This window comes from Homo sapiens, chromosome 5 (assembly GCF_000001405.40).
Source record: "Homo sapiens chromosome 5, GRCh38.p14 Primary Assembly".
Classification (NCBI taxonomy): domain Eukaryota; kingdom Metazoa; phylum Chordata; class Mammalia; order Primates; family Hominidae; genus Homo; species Homo sapiens.
This window is the reverse complement of record NC_000005.10, coordinates 62,337,389-62,357,320: the sequence shown is the minus strand read 5'-3', so window position 1 is coordinate 62,357,320 and position 19,932 is coordinate 62,337,389. Positions and strand designations below refer to the sequence as shown.

The 19,932-nt window shown below is 37.7% G+C and overlaps 1 protein-coding gene across 4 annotated transcripts in view; it reads right to left on the bottom strand.

The window, feature by feature from the left end:
• KIF2A (kinesin family member 2A) overlaps positions 1–19,932 on the bottom strand; it is an 84,820-nt gene that overhangs the window by 33,705 nt on the left and 31,183 nt on the right. For 3 of the 4 annotated variants that reach the window (NM_001243952.2, NM_001098511.3, NM_004520.5), the window contains 6 exons: positions 10,097–10,191; positions 9,154–9,273; positions 7,201–7,255; positions 4,611–4,733; positions 3,946–4,046; positions 2,067–2,162 (listed from right to left, as the gene is read on the bottom strand). In NM_001243952.2, coding sequence (NP_001230881.2) covers positions 2,067–2,162; positions 3,946–4,046; positions 4,611–4,733; positions 7,201–7,255; positions 9,154–9,273; positions 10,097–10,174 — 573 coding nt within the window. In that variant the 5' untranslated portion in view covers positions 10,175–10,191. The remainder of the gene's footprint in view (positions 1–2,066; positions 2,163–3,945; positions 4,047–4,610; positions 4,734–7,200; positions 7,256–9,153; positions 9,274–10,096; positions 10,192–19,932) is intronic. The other variant, NM_001243953.2, reaches the window with a different exon arrangement.

The window sequence follows — 19,932 nt, the reverse complement described above, 5'->3', positions numbered from 1 at the left end:
CCTGAGGTCAGGAGTTTGAGACTAGCCTGGCCAACATGGAGAAACCCCATTTCTACTAAAAATATAAAAATTAGCCGGGAGTGGTGGTGCATGCCTGTAGTCCCAGCTACTCGGGAGGCTGATGTGGGAGAATCACTTGAACCTGGGAGGTGGAGGTTGCAGCGGGCCGAGATTATGCCTCTGCCCACCAGCCTGGGTGACAGTGAGACTTTATCTCTGGACCAAAAAAAAAAAGAAGTTGTGATGCCAGGCATGGTGGGTAATCCCAGCACTTTGGGAGGCTAAGGTGGGTGGATCACTTGAGGTCAGGAGTTCAAGACCAGCCTGGCCAACATGGTAAAACTCCATCACTACTAAAAATATAAAAACTAGCTGGGCATGGTGGTGCATGCCTGTAATTCCAGCTACTCAGGTGGCTGAGGCACGAGAATTGCCTGAACCCTGGAGGTGGAGGTTGTAGTGAGCCGAGATCCTGCCACTCCACCTCAGCCTGGGCAACAGAGAAGACTGTGTCTCCAAAAAAAAAAAAAAAAAGCTGTATTATCCACTTCAAGATGTGCTATACACAACAAAAGTCAACATTTCTATTCTACTAAGTGACATATTTTCATAGGTTGATCATAGGGAAAGTTGCTAGCAAAGATAACTATGGCAAGAAACAGGATTCTCAGACGATTACTGAGCCAAATAATTTGAACTATTTTATAAATATGCCAATTCTTATGCATAAGTATTTTTTATAAAAATTTTGTTCCCAATACATGCCTCATTTTAATAATAATTAACATAAAGCAAGGATTAGCACAGTATGGCCTGTGGGTCTAATTTAGCTACTACCTGCTTCTGCAAAATTTTACTGACACACATTGATTGAAACAAATGTCATACCCATCATTTATGTATTGTCTATGGCTGCTTTTACAATACAATGACAGAGTTCAGTAGTTGTGACAAAGACCATATAGCTCCAAAGCCAAAGACCCTTGCAGAAAATGTTTGCCAATTCCTGTCCTAAAGGGTGAGCTCTAATGCAGTAAGTGAAACACATGAAGGAATAGCAAGGCCTAAAATATGTGGGATACAAGTATTATCAACAATTCTATTCAATTCTATATAATACATCTATCTAACACAAATGTCTTTTTTGTAACTAACACATTCTGTATATGCTATGTCAGATGGATTATTTTTATAAGTACAAATTAGTTATAAAAGCATTCCCGGCTGGGCGTGGTGGCTCACGCCTATAATCCCAGGCATGATTACAGGCCTCCCACTTTGGGAGACCGAGGCGGGTGGATCACCTGAGGTCAGGAGTTCGAGACCAGCCTGACCAAAAAGGTGAACCCCGTTTCTACTAAAAATACAAAAATTAGCCGGGCGTGGTGGCAGGCGCCTGTAGTCCCAGCTACTTGGGAAGCTGAGACAGGAGAATCGCTTGAACTGGGAGGCGGAGATCACACCATTGCACTCTAGCCTGGGCGATGGAGCAAGACTCCATCTCAAAAAAAAAAAAAAAAAGGCACTCCCTGTCCAATGAATTCTCATTCATCAACAGCAAAGGAGTTGAGTAATAACAGCAGAGGATTTTTTCCAGTTCTAGATTTCTGGTCCACTGCAGCCCTCAACAACCATCACTTATTGTTAAAAGCCAGAATAACATTTAAAACTAACAAATTACCAATAGTAAATTAGAAATGATGGTGGGATCTACAGCCCAAGACAAAGATAAGCTTGGAACTGAGATCAAAGTATAACTCACAGTCAGAAAGGAAAGTGAGTCTTCTGCTATCACTCCTTTAAGTGTTGCTTTGCCCTCCCAAAGACAGGGAGGTTTTGCTTCGAGAAGGACATCTCTATAGGGAGCATATCTCATATACCAAATTATGGAAAATAAGCATTAATGTGGATAATTTCTTGATTTTCTTCTTAAAATATGGGGAATGAGCACCCACAAGGAAAGGAAAAACTACATAGCTGAACACAATATGAATTTAGCAAGTGTCAAACACGTTTTTATTTGAAGCATAAAAAGTTCCAGAATAATGGTTTACAAAGAATCTTACAGGATCTGCTGTTGTTAATGGTCTATAATCCAAACTTCCTCTAAAGTCTCTGATCATACACATAATTTCATAATTTGGGTTTGTAGCATCAACGTCCTATTAGAAGACAGAGAGAATTCACCATTATAAATATAATAATGTATTTGTTACATTTATATTTGGTTTGAAAATTAAAATTAAATTGTGCCATTTGTCATAACCAAGCCTAAACTTAAACTGACGATATTATATAGTTTCACAGTTGTGGTTTCATAATAAGCTCTGAACCACTTTGTGTTTGTAAAATTGTGTTTTACAAACACAATTCTCTTAGTCGGTATGCATTCTGTTAACTCCAAATTAAGGACTCTTCATTGAAGTTACCCTTCACCTATTTCAAAAATCCATCTGTTATACATATACCTTAATTATCCTATAAAATGCAGCAACAGAGAAATAATGCTCATGTTACCACTGGCAAATAACTCTAGAAAAGCTGAAATTCTAGGAAAATTCATTTAATCAGATTCATCTTCTAATTTAATCCAGTGTTTCAGCAAAGTATAAATACAGATTCATTTGTCTTCATTTTCTATTTTTGCTGACCTTCTAAAAAATACTAAGTAATGACAAAACTGCCCCAAATCAACAGAACATAGAACTTAAAGGAATCAGAAGCCAAGATCATTTTAAAAAAACTTTAAAATTCAAATTTTTGAATGCCAACTACAATTTATTTGGCTTCAAAACAGAAATTCAGATTAAGATACAAATAGCAATAGTCAACAGTCTTTCCTAGCCTTGAACAATAAATTATTAATCATTCTAAGAAGTCACATTTTTTTATACATCATATTCAGATTTGTTTTGAATGCAACTAAATTACAAACTGTTACTGAAACTTACTTTCAATTAACCTTCTTCTAGGAAATAATACCACCTATGTCAACTGAGAAGCAGACTGTGAAGTGAGAATTAAGAGATCACAGAGAGATGTGTAAGTATTATGAAGTACCCACAGGAAACACCAGGTGGCATCTATGCTAAGTATTAGTAGATAATATGTTTTATTATTCATTTCAAAACCCAACTGGTCATTCTCAGGTCACTTTCAGATAAAAGCTGATTCATTCAGGTTGGATATAATACTAGGTCCACAATTCCACAACACAACATCTGAACTGGTAGTTTAACATGATTAAGGGCATTTGAACATACTATTAAATAAATAATCTTGATGTTTTATTAGAGAAAAGTAGTTCTGAAAATGTAATAGATGCCATACAAGCACAATGGTGCAGTTATGTATAATAACAAAATGTCTAATATGTAAAGACCTGTAGAAGAGTAAAAGACCAGTTTTCTATGCAATTTTCCCACTGCTATTAAACAGTCTTGCTACCATCTGAAGGGACCCTGAGGGGGACACAATAGAGATCCACTCTTCATATGTGGCATAAATGAAAATCCAAGGAATTTCCCCCCTTTCACTAAGACATGTGAACTTACTAACCATAGAAAAACAATAATAAAATTTATAGTTTAATCATGCACTTTAACTGGGTATTTTTCCCAATGTATTTTTAGGTCTTTTTAAAATAAAAATTCTTAAATGTTACACCATACACATTAGAATTCTGTAACACAATGGCTTTTTCTTAATGGAACAAATTTTAGCGTTAACACATACCAATAAAACATGAAAAGAACAATGCAGTAAAAATGTGTTACGGTAACTTATTTGCACAAGAGTTTATATTATTCCTCAATATCAATTTAAGGAATTCTTAAAATTCTTCAAAAAAAATGCCTTAATTATTTTGTTCACATCAATCACCTTCACTGATATAATCTAATCTCTGGTTGGTACATAAACAAAATATATGTTTATGTTACGAACCTGGGCTCTTTTTTCTCTAAGTTCTTGCTGTTGCAATCTCCTTTTCTCTCGTTTTTCTTGCAGTTTTTCTACTTCTTTCACACAATTAGATTTTCTACGTGCTGAAAAGAAAAGATGAGCTGTAGAAGTATAGTTTTCTTTTTTAGAGTACTAATATTAAACTTTTTTTATGTATAACTTCACCACACACACATAAAAGGTACACAGTGACAAAGCATGCCTATAACAACTACGTGAGCTTTACTTAATGAGCTGCTTTACCAAAACTAAAATAGGACAATGTACAGATGAGAGTCCAGAAAAATGACTCAAACATATTGATACATGTCATCTCTTGGTTTAGAAACACAGACTTTTTAATTCAAAGAATCAAGGAGCCCAACACATTCTTCTGTAACATCTGACAAATTATCATCTGCCCAGAATTTTAAACTCAAACTGAAACATTGCTATAATTTCACAAAAAAATTTTTGCTCCAAAATATACTTTAAAAAACCCAATTAACAGACTAATAAGAAGAAGTTAAATTTTCCACAGTGGTAAAATGAAATCTGCAATCAAGCTTGTATTTAGAGTGTTTACTCTTTGAGGACTTAAAAGGATGACCAAGAGAGAATACATGTATGCCTAAAATGACTAAATCCTTGATACATAATTTACATACAAGGGGGTCCAAATTCCTTTTTTGCAGCTTGAACTGGAGATATATCTGAAACACTACCATTCTGTTGTGCAGAGGAAGACTGTTCAGGAAATTGACTGGGCCGTGCACGTGCTGAACCAACCACTGTAAGTAAAAAAAAAAAATTTTAAATTCAGGATAGAAAATTAGTAAAAGCTAACCTTAGTAAAAGGAAGAGATAGCCCCCAAAACCTGATACTTAAAAGTTACATTAGTAAGTTGCCAGGTTTTCTATTTATGTATGTAAAATATAATATAGTTTATAATAATTCTGTTCAATAAACTGACATAAGCTAAAAGAGGCTTTCAAAGTAATACGTGCAGACTTAGCTTTCACCAATGTAATTTTAGCTACAAAATTCAATCTAAATAATTTACATAAAAGCCAAAGCCAAGCTTGTTTTTTAATAATCCTTTAAAATATATATGTGAAAACAAAATATATATGTATATATAAACCGCTCCACGTCTTAAAACTTTAAACTGCAAAGAAATCCTCCTAAAATATGTGTGTAAAATATAATTTTTTTTTTTTTTTTTGAGATGAAGTCTCGCTCTGTTGCCCAGGTTGGAGTGCAGTGGTGCAATCTCGGCTCACTGTGACCTCCGCCTCCCAGGTTCAAGTGATCTCCTGCCTCAGCCTCCCGAGTAGCTGAGACTACAGGCGCACGCCACTACACCTGGCTCATTTTTGTAATTTTAGTAGAGACGAGGTTTCACCATATTGGTCAGGCTGGCCTCAAACTCTTCACCTCAGGTGATCCACCCACCTCGGCCTCCCAGTGTGCTGGGATTAAAGGCGTGAGCCACCACACCCGGCAAAATATAAATTTTACATGCCTTCTCATTTTTAAAAATGTACACTAATCAAATATATACAGAGAGTAAAAACTTAGCTTCAACCCTCCCTATATTCCAAATCCCACTCTTTGCTCCTCAAATATGCAAATCTTCAGCAGAGAATTTCCCAATGTGGATATTATACAAGTGGAAAAAAGAATATAAAATTAAATATAAATATCAAATTTTAAAAGAAATATAAATTTACATAAGACTCAAAAGATAGTGTTTAAACTGAAGGACTGTCCCTCCACTTCCAATCTCTCATTTAATACTTCTGTCCATCCTGTTCTACCATCCACACACAGAGAAATAATACTGCCAGAAAAGACAATTCTGAACTACTTAACAATAGAAAATAAATTCATTATGCTTTTCATGTCCTGGCTGAAAATATATGGGAGACTTCAGTTAACTACACAATTTTTATGTCTGTTCAACTTCTTTAGCTAGTGAAATCAGCCAACTAATTGACTCTTTCCCCATTCCTTTCTTTCTCATAATATTCTTCTCGAATTTGCAAAATTATTTAGTAAATAAGATGAATTAAAAATTGCATTTCATAATTTCATATTCATCTCATCCATTTTATTTTATTATATTATTTATTTATTTATTTATTGAGACAGGGTCTCACTCTATTGCCCAGGCTGGAATGCAGTGGCACAATCTCGGCTCACTGAACCTCCACCTCCTGGGTTCAAGCGATCCTCCTGCCTCAGCCTCCCGAGTAGCTGAGACTACAGGTATGTGTCACTGCACTTGGCTAGTTTTTGTATTTTTAGTAGAGATGGAGTTTCATCATGTTGGCCAGGCTGGTCTTGAGCTTCTGACCTCAGGTTATCTGCCCGCCTCGGCCTCTCAAAGTGCTGGGATTTCAGGGGTGAGCCACCGTTCCCAGCCATCATCCCATACATTTTAAAAATCTTTTTTTTTTTTTGGAGATGGAGTCTCGCTCTGTCGCCCAGACTGGAGTGCAGTCGTGCGATCTTGGCTTACTGCAACCTCTGCCTCCCAGGTTCAAGCAATTCTCCTGCCTCAGCCTCCCAAGTAGCTGGGATTACAGGCACTGCCACCATGCCTGGCTAATTTTTTGTATTTTTAGTAGAGACGGGGTTTCACCATGTTGACCAGGGGGGTCTTGAACTACTGACCTCAGGTGATCCACCCGCCTCAGCCTCCCAAAGTGTGGAGATTACAGGCCTGAGTCACCGCACCTGGACAAAATCATTTTTCAGTATTACTGGCATATTGTATTAGGAGATCAAGAAGACACTAGGCTGGGCACAGTGGCTCATGCCTGTAATCCCAACACTTTGGGAGGCCAAGCCAGGAGGATCACTTGAGCCCAGGAGTTCAAGACCAGCCCAGGCAACATGGAAAGACTCTCTACTAAAAAATCAAAAAATTAGCTGGGCATAGTGGCTCATGCCTGTGGTCCCAGCTACATGTGAGGCTGAGGCAGGAGGATCATCTGACCCTGGGAGGTCAAGGCTGTAGTGAGCTGTGTTCATGCCAATGTACTCTAGACTGGGTGATAGAGCAAGACCCTGTCTCAAAAAAAAAACCAAAAAACAAAAAACAAAACAAAACAAAAAAGCACCTCTTAAAATTAGCCAGGTAAAATTTAAATAAATACCAACATCAAGGGTAATGTTTACTTTTGATTTACCTTGTCAGGAACATACTAAGAAGTCAATAGCCAAAATTAAGAGATAAATTTTTACTTTACCTCTATTATCTCTTGAAGGAGGGTCATTCTTAATAGAAGCTACAGTCCGTCGATTCTATGAAAGGAAAAAATGTTCATTATGTTTTCTATCTTTACTCCCTCATATGTATCATGATCTGAGCTTCTTTCAATTAAACAAAAGTAGGCAGACATGTAAGAATATAAAACAAAATGAAGAAAAACTATAATCTTAATGAATTACTATTAATGCTATCAATATTCAAGTTCCTTTATATATTTTCCCCTACCCTCCAAAAATATTCAGGAATTAATATGAGCCAGGCACTGATCTAAGGACTTTCTTCACAACAACCTATGAGGTCATTACTACTGCTATTCCCATCTCATCGATGAGGAAACTGAAACAAAGAGAGGTTAAGTAGCTTCACAATAATATGTGTTTTAATCATCATTTCTGAATAATAGGGGGTAATTTATAAAATATTAGTTCTAGACAGCTTAGAACCCCTTGTTAAACTGAAATATCAGAATACTATAAAATGTACATTGTCAGTTATCCTAAAAAGGTTTCATAAGAGTTTCTAAGACTTGGACACTGTACAGATTAAGGCAGCAAACTTTTGGTCCTCTAATTCATTCATGAAGACTTCCTTTTATTCACCTCAAAAAAAGATATCAAATAATGTAGCTGTCTTAACCTTGGATGCACATTCAAATCAGATGAGTACTATTAAAAGGAAACTGATGCCAGGGTCTCCCTTTAGGTAAAATAAAACTGAATCTCTGGGAGTGGGGCCCATAAATCAGTATTTTTAAAAATACTGATTTATTTTAATACTTTAAAAATATTTTTAATACTTTTAAAAATACTTATTTATAATTAAAATAAATCCTTATTTTTAAAATAAATATTTATTTTTAAAATATACTGATTTAATCTATTCCAGGTAATTCTAATGTACAGTAAAGGTTGCTAATGATATACCAGGAAGAATAAACTACAAAAATCCTCCAATGAAGATCCCTCATTTTGAAGATGAATATAAAAAATAATCCATGTATAAGTGGTAACTAATAACCTCTAAGTGGTGACTCTCAATATGATTAAACTCATGAGTTGAAAATATGCCTCAGGTTCAACTGCATAGTTTATGAAACAAAGTTTTGTTGCTTCTATTATACTATATTTAAATGCTTATCTATGTCCTCCCTGAAAGATATCAAGTTCCTACAGGCTGAAAGCCATGTCATCATTCATCTTTGTATTTTGTCCAGCATAGTATTTGGCACAATGTAAAAAAGCAAAACAACAACAACAAAACCACAAATGCTTGTTGAGATGAACACAAAGAACCGCAGATTCAACAACTTTGCAATACTACCTGTTTTAAAAAGAGTTGTATTTTGAAACAAAAATTTAATACTGAAAGGTCTTGAGAGAAAGGAAGGAGAATTATCTTTAAAAGCCAGAAGAATAATGTGCTTTTAATTTTTATAAAGATAAAACTGCTAGGGAGGATTTAGCACAGTTTTAAGGTATATCATGACAGTCAATATAGAAGTGAACTACACTATCATTTCCCATCTTTCTTTAAGAAACAAATAGCAGAATTATACTTTCAAAAGACTATCAGAGTTGGTAGTTATTATTCCTAAGAAACAGCTATTATGCCTTTGTCAAAGTCATATGTCTTCATTCAACAAACACCAAGCAAATGGTTTTGATCTATATCTCCTGAGAAACTTAGTCTCAGGAAAAATACTAATTAGGTGAGAAATTTCTAAGACCTTATCCAACGATGGTCATAATTGTGAATTAGACAACCTCAATCCTTGAAAATATGTATGTATATATATGAATATGATGGCAGAAAAAGCAAATTAATCAATTCTTAAACTCTTCAAAGCCTACCAATTTCAAACTAGAACACACACACATCTACAACTCCCGCTCTCTCCCAGTGTCCTGCACTCTGAATTTTCATCACTAACCTTTACAATTTTGTTTACTTTGGCTGAGGATGCTGGAGGTGGAGGTGTTTCTGGACTGGGTTCAATTTCTTCATCAGGAACAAGGTCAGGGTTAAGTGAAAAGATGCTCTCCAGGTCAATCTGTTCACAACACATACACATAGTCTTTTGAGAGTATATTTTGACAATTAACCTTTTACTTTTCAAGTAAATTGATGAAGTAAATAACTCTTAAATTACTTTAGCCTAATGAATACAGTAACTCGGCTGGGTGCAGTGGCTCATGCCTGTAATCTTAGCACTTTGGGAGGTCAAGGTGGGCGGATCATTTGAGCCCAGGAGTCTGAGACCAGCCTGGGCAACATGGTGAAACCCCATCTCTACAAAAAATACAAAAATTAGCCAGGTGTGGTGGTGCACACCTGTAGTCCCAGCTACTCTGGAGACAGGTGGGAGGGTCACTTGAGCCCAGGAGGTCAAGGCTGCAGTAAGCCATGATCATGACACTGCACTCCAGCCTGGGTGACAAAGTGAGACCCTGTCTCAAAAACAAAAAAAAAAGAATACAGTGCCTTAGCCTTACAAATGAGATTTAGAATTATAATCCACAAATTTAAAGAATCTCTCTTAAAATATCATTTTATAGTCTTGACTCTATGAATTGCTAACAACACAGTGACCAATAGAACCACATAATTAAATATTATAGCACATTTTCAAACTGTGTGAGCTAGACTTAAAGAATAGTATATTTTATCAAATAATTAAGACTGATATGTGCAATCACATAAGAGATACAGGAGGAATCTACCTTTAAGTGAAAATTTTTAATCATTTGAAAGTTTTCAAGGAATAATAAAAATATATGCACTAAATAAAATAACATTATGTACTTTTCTGTTTTGTTTTATATTCAGAATCTTGATTGCAGGACTAGGAATAAAATTAAACTCAGTGATCTTACCTCTTTGCCTTTTGTATCTCCATTTTCTATCCATTCAACAGTTACACTTTCATTATCTTCATTTAAAGATGTTACCATTGCTTGATGTATTCGGCCTATGTGGGAATAAAGTATACACCTTAAAAATGCCACAAATTATGGCATTCCTAAACACTGTGAAATACAATTTTATAACTTGGAAATTAAAAAAAAAATGACACTACTTTTCCTTACAAGAGATTTCCACAGACCCTCAGGAACAGGGAATGAACTTTGTCCACGGGGCCATAAATCAATTTGCTACTTGTCAAGTCCAGTAAATCAGTAAATCAGGTAAGACCTAAAGTTTATTTTCAGCATATATGATAAATGGTCACACAGTGACATACAATGCCTGAAATCTTAAACTGTTAAACAGTTCTAATCATTAGAAAGTGTCCTTACTATGAGCCAAAAATGATTCTGTAGAACAAAGAACAAAAATGTATAAAGCAAAATTTTTTTTCCTGAGACAGTCTCGCTCTGTTACCTAAGCTATAGAGCAGTGATGCGATCTTGGCTCACTGCAACCTCTGCCTCCTGGGTTCAAGTGATTCTTGTGCCTCAGCCTCCTAAGTAGCTGAGATTACAGCCATGCATCACCACACCCAGCTAATTTTAGTATTTTTAGTAGGGACGGGGTTTCACCATATCGCGCAGGCTGGTATCGAAATCCTGGCCTCGAGTGATCCACCCACCTCGGGCTCCCAAAGTGATGGGATTACCGGCATGAGCTACTGTGCCTGGTTCAGAAAGCAGTTTTAAATATTATACTGATATAAAATACTTTTTACTTAAAAACCACTTTTTACCATATACGATGCAAATTGATAAAATTTTAAAATTAAGAAATGTGATTCCAAAAAGGTTGGGAAATGCTCATTTAAAATGTCCTCTTCTATATGTTGTCTATCCAAATCTATTCTATTCCTTACTTTCCCTAACTACTCCAGTCTTACAATCTGTAGAGAGAAGATATTATATATAATGTAGTAAACTTATTTTCCCTTCTTAGTAGACTGTAGGTTTTATCTGATAATAACTACAGAGCTAAATAATTATTTTTAATTATTACATAATATTTCATTATGTTTATCATAAATTATTTAATACCTATTGATGGTCACTTAGGTTATGTGCCATTTATTATTATTATTATAAACACTGCAATGAATACTATTGTATATTTGTCATTATGTACTTGTTGGATTATTTGCCTAGGACAAATTCCTAGAAGCACACCAACAGAATATATACATATATAAAATACTTTTTAAAAAATTTATTTCATCTGTTTTCATCTTACCGATCCATCTGGTTGTTACTCAAGTAGAGACAGAAACTATGCAATATACTGCATCTTCAATATTTCCTAATAGAAATCCTTGGGGGCATCTATAATTTATCTTAAGATAATTTATAGCTCCTTAAATGTCTAAAAACAGATATATAGTACAGAAAACAATGTTATTATAATGAGGCATTCAATACTGTTAAAACATGGGCACTATAATAATTTAATAAGTATTATTGTTTATGAAATTACTATCACTGCCTTTTATTTTATTTTCAACAGAGACAGAGTCTCACTATGTTGCCAAGGCTGGTCTCAAACTCCTGGGCTCAGGGAATCCACCTGCCTTGGCCTGCTGAAATGCTGGGATTACAGGTGTGAGCCACTGTGCCCGACCTACCTTCTATTTTTTCTTTTCTTTTTTTTTTTTTGAGACAGAGTCTCAAGCGATTCTCATGCCTCAGCCTCCCAAGTAGCAGCTGGGATTACAGGCATGCACCACCATGCCCAGCTCTTTTTTTTTTTGAGACAGAGTCTTGCTCTGTCACCCATGCTGGAGTGCAGTGGAGCAATCTCAGCTCACCACAACCTCCGTGTCTGGGGTTCAAGCAATTCTCCTGCCTCAGCCTCCCAAGTAGCTGGGATTACAGGCACGTGCCACCACAATGGGCTAATTTTTGTATTTTTAGTAGAGACGGGGTTTCACCATGTTGGCCAGGCTAGTCTCGAACTCCTGACCTCAAGTGGTCTGCCCTCCTCGGCCTCCCAAAGTGCTGGGATTACAGGCATGAGCCACCACGCCTGGCCCTGGCTAAATTTTGTATTTTTAGTAGAGGACAGGGTTTCTCCATGTTGGCCAGGCTGATCTCAAACTCCTGGCCTCAGGCGATCTGCCCACCTTGGCCTCCATAAGTGCTGGGACTACAGGCGTGAGCCACCACGCCCGGCCTTGTGGCCTACCTTTTATATGAGCTCATATAAAAATCCATATAAGTAATAAATGAACATAATCTTATAGATTTCAAATAGTGAGGATGTTAAGTACTCTCAAATGATATACTGGTGTTGCTTTTTAAAGAAAAAACTAAAATACATACTAGTGATCTTTCCATGACAATATGTATAGACCTACCTATTATTTTTCATAACCACAAAGCATTCCATAAATGAATATATCACAATTTATTCCTTTATTAGGAGTATTATTTCCAACTGTTTGCCATTAAAAGATGCTGCACTGAATATCTGAACATAGGTGTGAATGCTTCCACAAATAAAATTTCTAGAAGGAGAATTAGTGGGTCAAGAAAATTGAAATTTTGATAGATATTCCTGAACCGCCCTTTGTATACATTCTCACCAACAGTGGGACCTATTCCTCCACACCCTCAACAACACTGAGCATTATCAATCCTAACACTTTTATCATCTCATGTGTCAGATTTCTTTAAGCTACTACTTTTTAAGTATGAATATGTCAGATACTAGCTCATTTAATTCACATTGGTTCATTTAATCATAACAAATATACCTACAAAGTAGGTATCTGCATTTTTTTTTTTTTTTGAGATGGAGTCGCGCTCTGTCACCAGGTTGGACTGCAGTGGTGCGATCTCGCTCGGCTCACTGCAACCTCCACCTCCCAGGTTCAAGCGATTTTCCTGCCTCAGCCTCCTGAGTAGCTAGACTACAGGTGCGCACCACCACGCCCAGCTAATTTTTTGTATTTTTAGTAGAGACAGGGTTTCACCATGTTGGCCAGGATGGTCTCCATCTCTTGACTTCATGATCTGCCCGCCTCAGCCTCCCAAAGTGCTGGGATTACAGGCGTGAGCCACTGCGCCCAGCCGGTAACTGCATTTATAGATGAGAAAAATAAAGCTCAAAGTTACACAGTGAATAAGCAGCATGGGTCTAAACCTTGGTCAGATGTAAAAGTACTTGCTATTAATCACTATGCTTCTCTACTCACTTCAATTAAGCTGATGAAGATGTCTATATGTCTTAAGTCCAGGCATTCCTATAAAAATGTATAAACGGTAACACAAATTCTCAACCCTCATGTGTACCAGAAACTCCTAGGGAGCTTTCACAAAATAAAATGACATTGCTTGAGTCTTGCCCCCAGATAATGAGCCAATTCTTAACAACTTCACTGCTATCATCTTGGTGCAAGCTACCAATGCCTTGTACTTAGATTACTGTGATACTCTCCCAACTAGTCTTCCTGCTTCCAACTTATCTGCCCTCTGTCTGTTCTCCAGAGCAGCCAAAATGTTCCTGGTAAAAAGTGAGTCAGATATTACTCCTTTGCTCAAAACCTTCCAATGACTCCCCCATCTCACACAGAGTAGAAGCTAAAGTCCTTTCAATGACCTATTAATGACTTACAACAAAGCCCTACATGATCTGACCCGCATTACCTGTGACCTCATTCATGCCTTACTAAAGTCACTCCTTTTTAATTGTCTGATTCCTATCTCACACAATACCACCTCCATTCCCCCCACTTCCCCAAAAGATGGGTCACAAACTTAAATGTGAAAGATGTAAAAGCAACTGAGTAAATAGTGGTGCCTTTTACTAATACAGATGGGCATTAGAGGAGATGCAGGTGCTGGGGGTGGGTGAAATTGATGACCTAAAAAAATACTGGGAGGAGTCAAAAGGGAGTTAAAAAAGGGAAATTAAATAATCCTTACTTCAATTTCAGAGACAAATTAGGTAAATAACCAGTGGAAGTGATATGTGTCATTTGGAGTCCTCTGAGAAGCAGATGAGAGAGTTGGGAGTACAAGAGGTTTACTGCTAAAGATAAAAGGGGGAGGAAAGAGGACTGAGCACAGAAAACTTTCAGACCAGGCTGGGTGCGGTGGCTCACGCCTGTAATCCCAGCACTTTGGGAGGCTGAGGCGGGCAGATCACTTGAGGTCAGGGGTTCAAGACCAGCCTGGCCAACATGGTGAAACACAGTCTCTACTAAAAATACAAAATTATCTGGGTGTGGTGGTGGGCGCCTGTAATCCCAGCTACTCAGGAGGCTGATGCAGGAGAATCACTTAAACCCAGGAGGTGGAGGTTGCAGTGAACCAAGATCGCTCCACTGCACTCCAGCCTGGGCAAGAGCGAGACTCCACTTCAAAAAAAAAAAAAAATTAAGATTAAAATAAAAAATAATGAAAACTTTCAGACCATGATGCAGATTTGAAACCTATGAAGGAAGTGGCTGTGAAGCAGGACTGAGCAGAGAAAGCCTCAGACCTTGATGCAGATCTAACAAAGTCTTGGTCAACCCAGTAGGGTGCTTCAGAGCAAGACTGCCCATTAGAGGAGTCCTGCACTGAGCCAAAATGGATATGTCCTATTACCCATGCCATGCTCTATCACTGGCTGTGGATTTCCCAGGAAATTCAAGTTCTCAACCCCAAACCTAAAGGCCCTGAAGGTACTAACAACTGGAGGTTGTCAGCTAACTGCACTCCCTGAAACTGAAATTCTTTCTTAGAGAGACATCTAAGCAGTGCACCTGCATGGCTGCCACAGCATATGAGAAAGAGGATGAGTTTAACTGGTAGTGGGAATGAAGAGTGGACCCCAGAGAGCCATAAGCAGCCCAGTCACCATCACAATCTGGGAGGAGCCTACCGCTGCTGCATCAAGCCCCGCATCAATCACCATCTCTACAACATGAGTAGTGAGGCTAAGACCTGGCAGCCATCCTTTCCCCAACTGCCCGTGGCAGCCCCACAATATACTAATACCCACTAGTGGGGACAAGAAGATTATAGCAACAAAGGTTTTGGAGAAAGTAAAAGAGTTTAATAAAACACTGATATGGTTTTATCAGCAGAAAGGAAGGAAATATTTCAGCCTAAGGAAGATGCATTTTAATCAGACTACTGTGAAGAATAACCCTCAGCAGGAAATGAAGAGGCCGTGGTTGAGGTTAAAGAAATGAGACACCTAGCTATCAAATCTAGTTGGAAAAAAAAGAAAAAAGAAATGAGTTACCAAGGTGGATCTCCATGCAATTACCAGTAGAATTACCACAGTAATGAGAATGGGGAAAAATATGTGGATATTCCAAAAGGCAAGACCAACACAACCATTCTTATTGTTGGGCATCTACCATGGTATTCCCACCCTTCTAGGCAAGGAGTGACTTAATGTACCATAACTAGGTGTGCGAAAAAAAGGTGGGCCGGTGGAGCAAAATTCGTACCAGGACTACAGGTCGCAAATTCACAGAAACTTTAATCTCCAAAGACAGGCTAGAGAGATTGGCAATGAGAGGATAAAGCAAATCAAGGAGGCTGGGCACAGTGGCTCACACCTGTGATCCCAGCACTTTGGGAGGCAGAAGCAGGAGGATGGCTTGAGCCCAGGAGTTTGAGACTAGGTTGGCAACATACCGAGACCTCAACTCTATAAAAAAAATTTAAAAATCAACAGGGCATGGTGGTGTCCACCTACAGGCCCAGCAACTTGGGAGGCTGAGGTAGGAGGATTGCTTGAGCCTAGGAGGTCAAGGCTGCAGTGAGCTGTGATTGTGCCACGGCACTCCAGCTTGGGCAAGAGTGAGATCCTGTCTCCAAAAAAAAAAAAATCAAGGAGACAACATCCAGTATCAGCAGTCTCCTCAATATTGGAACCTCTATGACCTCAACCACCAGTGTACACATCCAGAAAGCCTTAAATCACAAGTTTGCAGAGTCAAAAGCATCTGATCTAAGACTAAACTCTAGAGGTTGAGCAGGGCAGGACTGAGAATTATGTTGCCTTATCTCTACCATAATCCAGTTTACTCATCCAACAAGAAGTGAATACGAAATTCCAGCAATAAGAAATGAATAGACAAAGTCTTAAGCATTTGCTTTTTGCCAATTAATCAGATAACTAGAACCATCTACACTACCTACAATACCAATGCAGCATGGGGCTTTTATTTGCACCAAAAGATGTCTCTAAAAAATGTTATTTTCTTTTTAAAAACCAACTTTACCCAATATGACTTTAAATATTTTTTAATTGTCGTATATATGGCTTTTCATTGAGCTACTCAAATACCTCTTTTTAAATTATAATACAAATTTATAATTTTTCTTTTTAAATTTTAATTTTTTTCTTTAACAAAGACATCCAATGATTTATTTAGAAAGTTAAGTAGTAAACACCTGTTAACAAAGGTGTTAAGTAATAAGAGAAACAATAATAAGATACATGAAAAATTTTTCAAAGGAAAAAATCATGATATGGTGACAACATACAGGCATAACAAGAAGGTTTCAAGCCTGGATGACTGGGAGAATGATGCCACTAGGGGGAGAACAATGAGATGCTCAAGTCTCAGTTGTTAATAGGGATCATGCATAGACGTTAATAAGACTAATCAGGACTAGAAATATCTTTCCCTAGAAAATGCAACAATCTTTCCATGTGGCCTTCCAATACCATCCCATTTCTCTGATCCACCTGAGAAAACTCCTGTATTCCATCTTCACTAACTCATTGCCCTTTGACTCTCTCTGATTCACCATTTACTTTACTGTGAATTATATCACATATACTTCCACATTAAAGAAAAATAATAATAGAGCAAATGCCTGTGTAACTACCACCAGCTAGGTTAAAAAACACTTTTGAAACCCCATACATTCCCCTCCCAAAGATAACAACTGCCAGGTGCAGTGGCTCACGCCTGCAATCCCAGCACTTTGGGAGGCTGAGGTGGGTGGATCACCAGAGATCAGGAGTTTGAGACCAGCCTGGCCAACATGGTGAAACCCCCTCTCTACTAAAAACACAAAAAATTAGCTGGGCATGGTGGTGCGTGCCTGTAATCCCAGCTACTCAGGAGGCTGATGCAGAATTGCTTGAACCCGGGAGGCAGAGGTTGCAGTGAGCCAAGATCGCGCCATTGCACTCCAGCCTGGACAATAAGAGCAAAATTCTGTCTCAAAAAAAAAAAAAAAAAAGTACTAAAAGTAACTACCCAGATATTTGAGATAATCATATTTTGGCTTTTCTTTATAGTTTTATCACCTTTAAATGTAACACACACACACAGAAATCTAAACAGTTTACTTCTCTTTAAATTGCATATGCATGGATTAACACTATTTTAAGACCTGTGTGTTTTTTTTTTTTGCTCAATACTATTTTTTGCAATTCATTTATGTTGTATATATAAAATGTATATAACTCATTTTCACTACAATATAGTATTTCATTGCACAAATATACATTTTATCTATTCTACTATCAGACATTTGAGTTGTTTTTATGTTTCTGCTATTAGGAACAATGATGCTATGGACATTCTTACATATGTGTACTGGTACAAATGTGCAATAATTTCTCTAAGATACATAATAAGAGAAGAAATACAGAATAATTGAGTCCACATATATAAAACTTTTCTCTTCGGTGCCATGATGCTTCCTATCGATAGTGGCTGTGTGATAGTTTGTATATTCATCCCTGCCTAAATCTCACGTGGAATTGTAATCCCTATATTGGAGGTGGGGCCCAGTGGAGGTGATTGGATGGTGGAGGTGACTAGATCACTGGGGTGGATTTCTCATGAATGGTTTAGCACCATCCCCTTGGTGATGAGTGCACCATCCCCTTGGTGATGAGTGCTGTCCTCATGACAGTGAGTTCTGTTCTCTGGCTGTTTAAAAGTGTGTGGCATCTCCCTCTCTCTTGCTCCTGCTCCCCCTTAGCCTTCATGAGACCTTCCCAGAAGCTGAGCAGATGCCAGCATCATGCTTCCTGCAAAGCCTGCAGACCTGCAAGCCAATTAAACCTCTTTTCTTTATAAATTACCCAGTCTCAAGTATTTATAGCAATGAAAGATGGGCCTAACACACAGTATCTATAATGATTTGTAATCCCCCTAGCAATTACTCCACATTCATGAAAACAATATTAGTCAGATTTAATGTATCATATTATGGTTCTAATTTCTCTGATTTAATGAGGTTTTGCCTGTTTTTGTGCTTGTTAGCCATTCAGGCCTTTTGAGTACTGACTTGAGTGTTGGGGCCTCTTTGTTTGGGCTATTTCTCTATAGGAATTCTATATATATTCTTGATATTAATCTTTTGTTGTATGTATAGCAAATATTTTCTACAAAGTTGTGGCTTATCTTTTCATGTTCTTTATGGTGCTTTTGATGCATTTAAATTCTTAATTCTAATGTAGTCAAATGTATGTTTTTCCATTATGGATTTTTTTTGTTGTTTTTTGGTATGCTATGAAATTTTTCCTAAGATTGAGATCCCTAAAACAGTCTCTTACATTTTCTTTTAAAGTTTTATAAGCCAGATGTGGTGGCTCAGGCCTGTAATCCCAGCACTGTGGGAGGCTGAGGTGGGCAGATCACTTGAGATTAGGAGTTTGAGACCACCCTGGCCAACATGGTGGAACTCTAACTCTACTAAAAATACAAAAAATTATCCAGGTGTGGTGGTGGGTGTCTGTAATCCCAGATACTTGGGAGGCTGAGACAGGAGAATTGCTTGAGCCCGGGAGGCAGAGGTTGAAGTGAGCCAAGATTGTGCCTCTGCACTCGAGTCTGGGTGACACAGCAAGACTCCGACTCGAATAAATAAAATTTTACAAAACCTTTCATATTTGGGACCTTAATCCGTTGGCATTTTGTTATTTTTATATGATAACACAATTTCCTTTCCAGGACCATTTCCTGAAAATTCCCTTTCCCCTCTACTTATCAGCAATACTACCTGTGTCATAGTTCAAGCATACATGCATGAGTTTATTTATCCCTGAACTAAAATTACATTTAGTATTATAGCTTTGCTTATTATTAAGTCTTGCCATATAGAATAAGCCCTCCTGTCTTATTGTTCTTTAAGAGTCTCTTTGATCTTCTTGGCCTTTTGCATGTCTGTATAAACTTTAGAATCAGCTTGTGAAGTTCCAAAAATCATATAAACCAATAATCACAAAACACTACCTATTGGGATTCTGACTGGAATTGCATTGTCTGTTTTGTTCTGGATTTTTATATCATTAATTAAGACTGATACTGGCCAGCAATTTTCCTTTCTCAAAGCTACTTTTTTTTTTTTTTTAAGAGTTCGGGGGTCTCTCTCTGTGCCCAGGCTGAAGTACGGTGGTGTGATCATGGCTCACTACAGCCTCATGTGATCCTCCTGCTTCAGCCTGCCGAGTAGCAAGGATTACAGGCATGCACTACTATGCCTGGCAAATTTTTTGTAGAGACAGGGTTTCGCTATGTTGACCACGCTGGTCTTTAACTTCTGGTCTCAAGCAATTCCCCTGCATCAGCCTCCCAAAGTGCTGGGATTACAGGTGTGAGCCACTGCTCCCAGCCTCTCATAACAATCTTATTAGATTTTGGTATCATGGTTATACTAATCTTTATTTTTTTTTTTGAGACAGTCTTGTTCTGTTGCCCAGGCTGGAGTGCGATGGTGTGATCTCGGCTCACTGCAACCTCTGCCTCCCAGGTTCAAGTGATTCTCCTGCCTCAGCC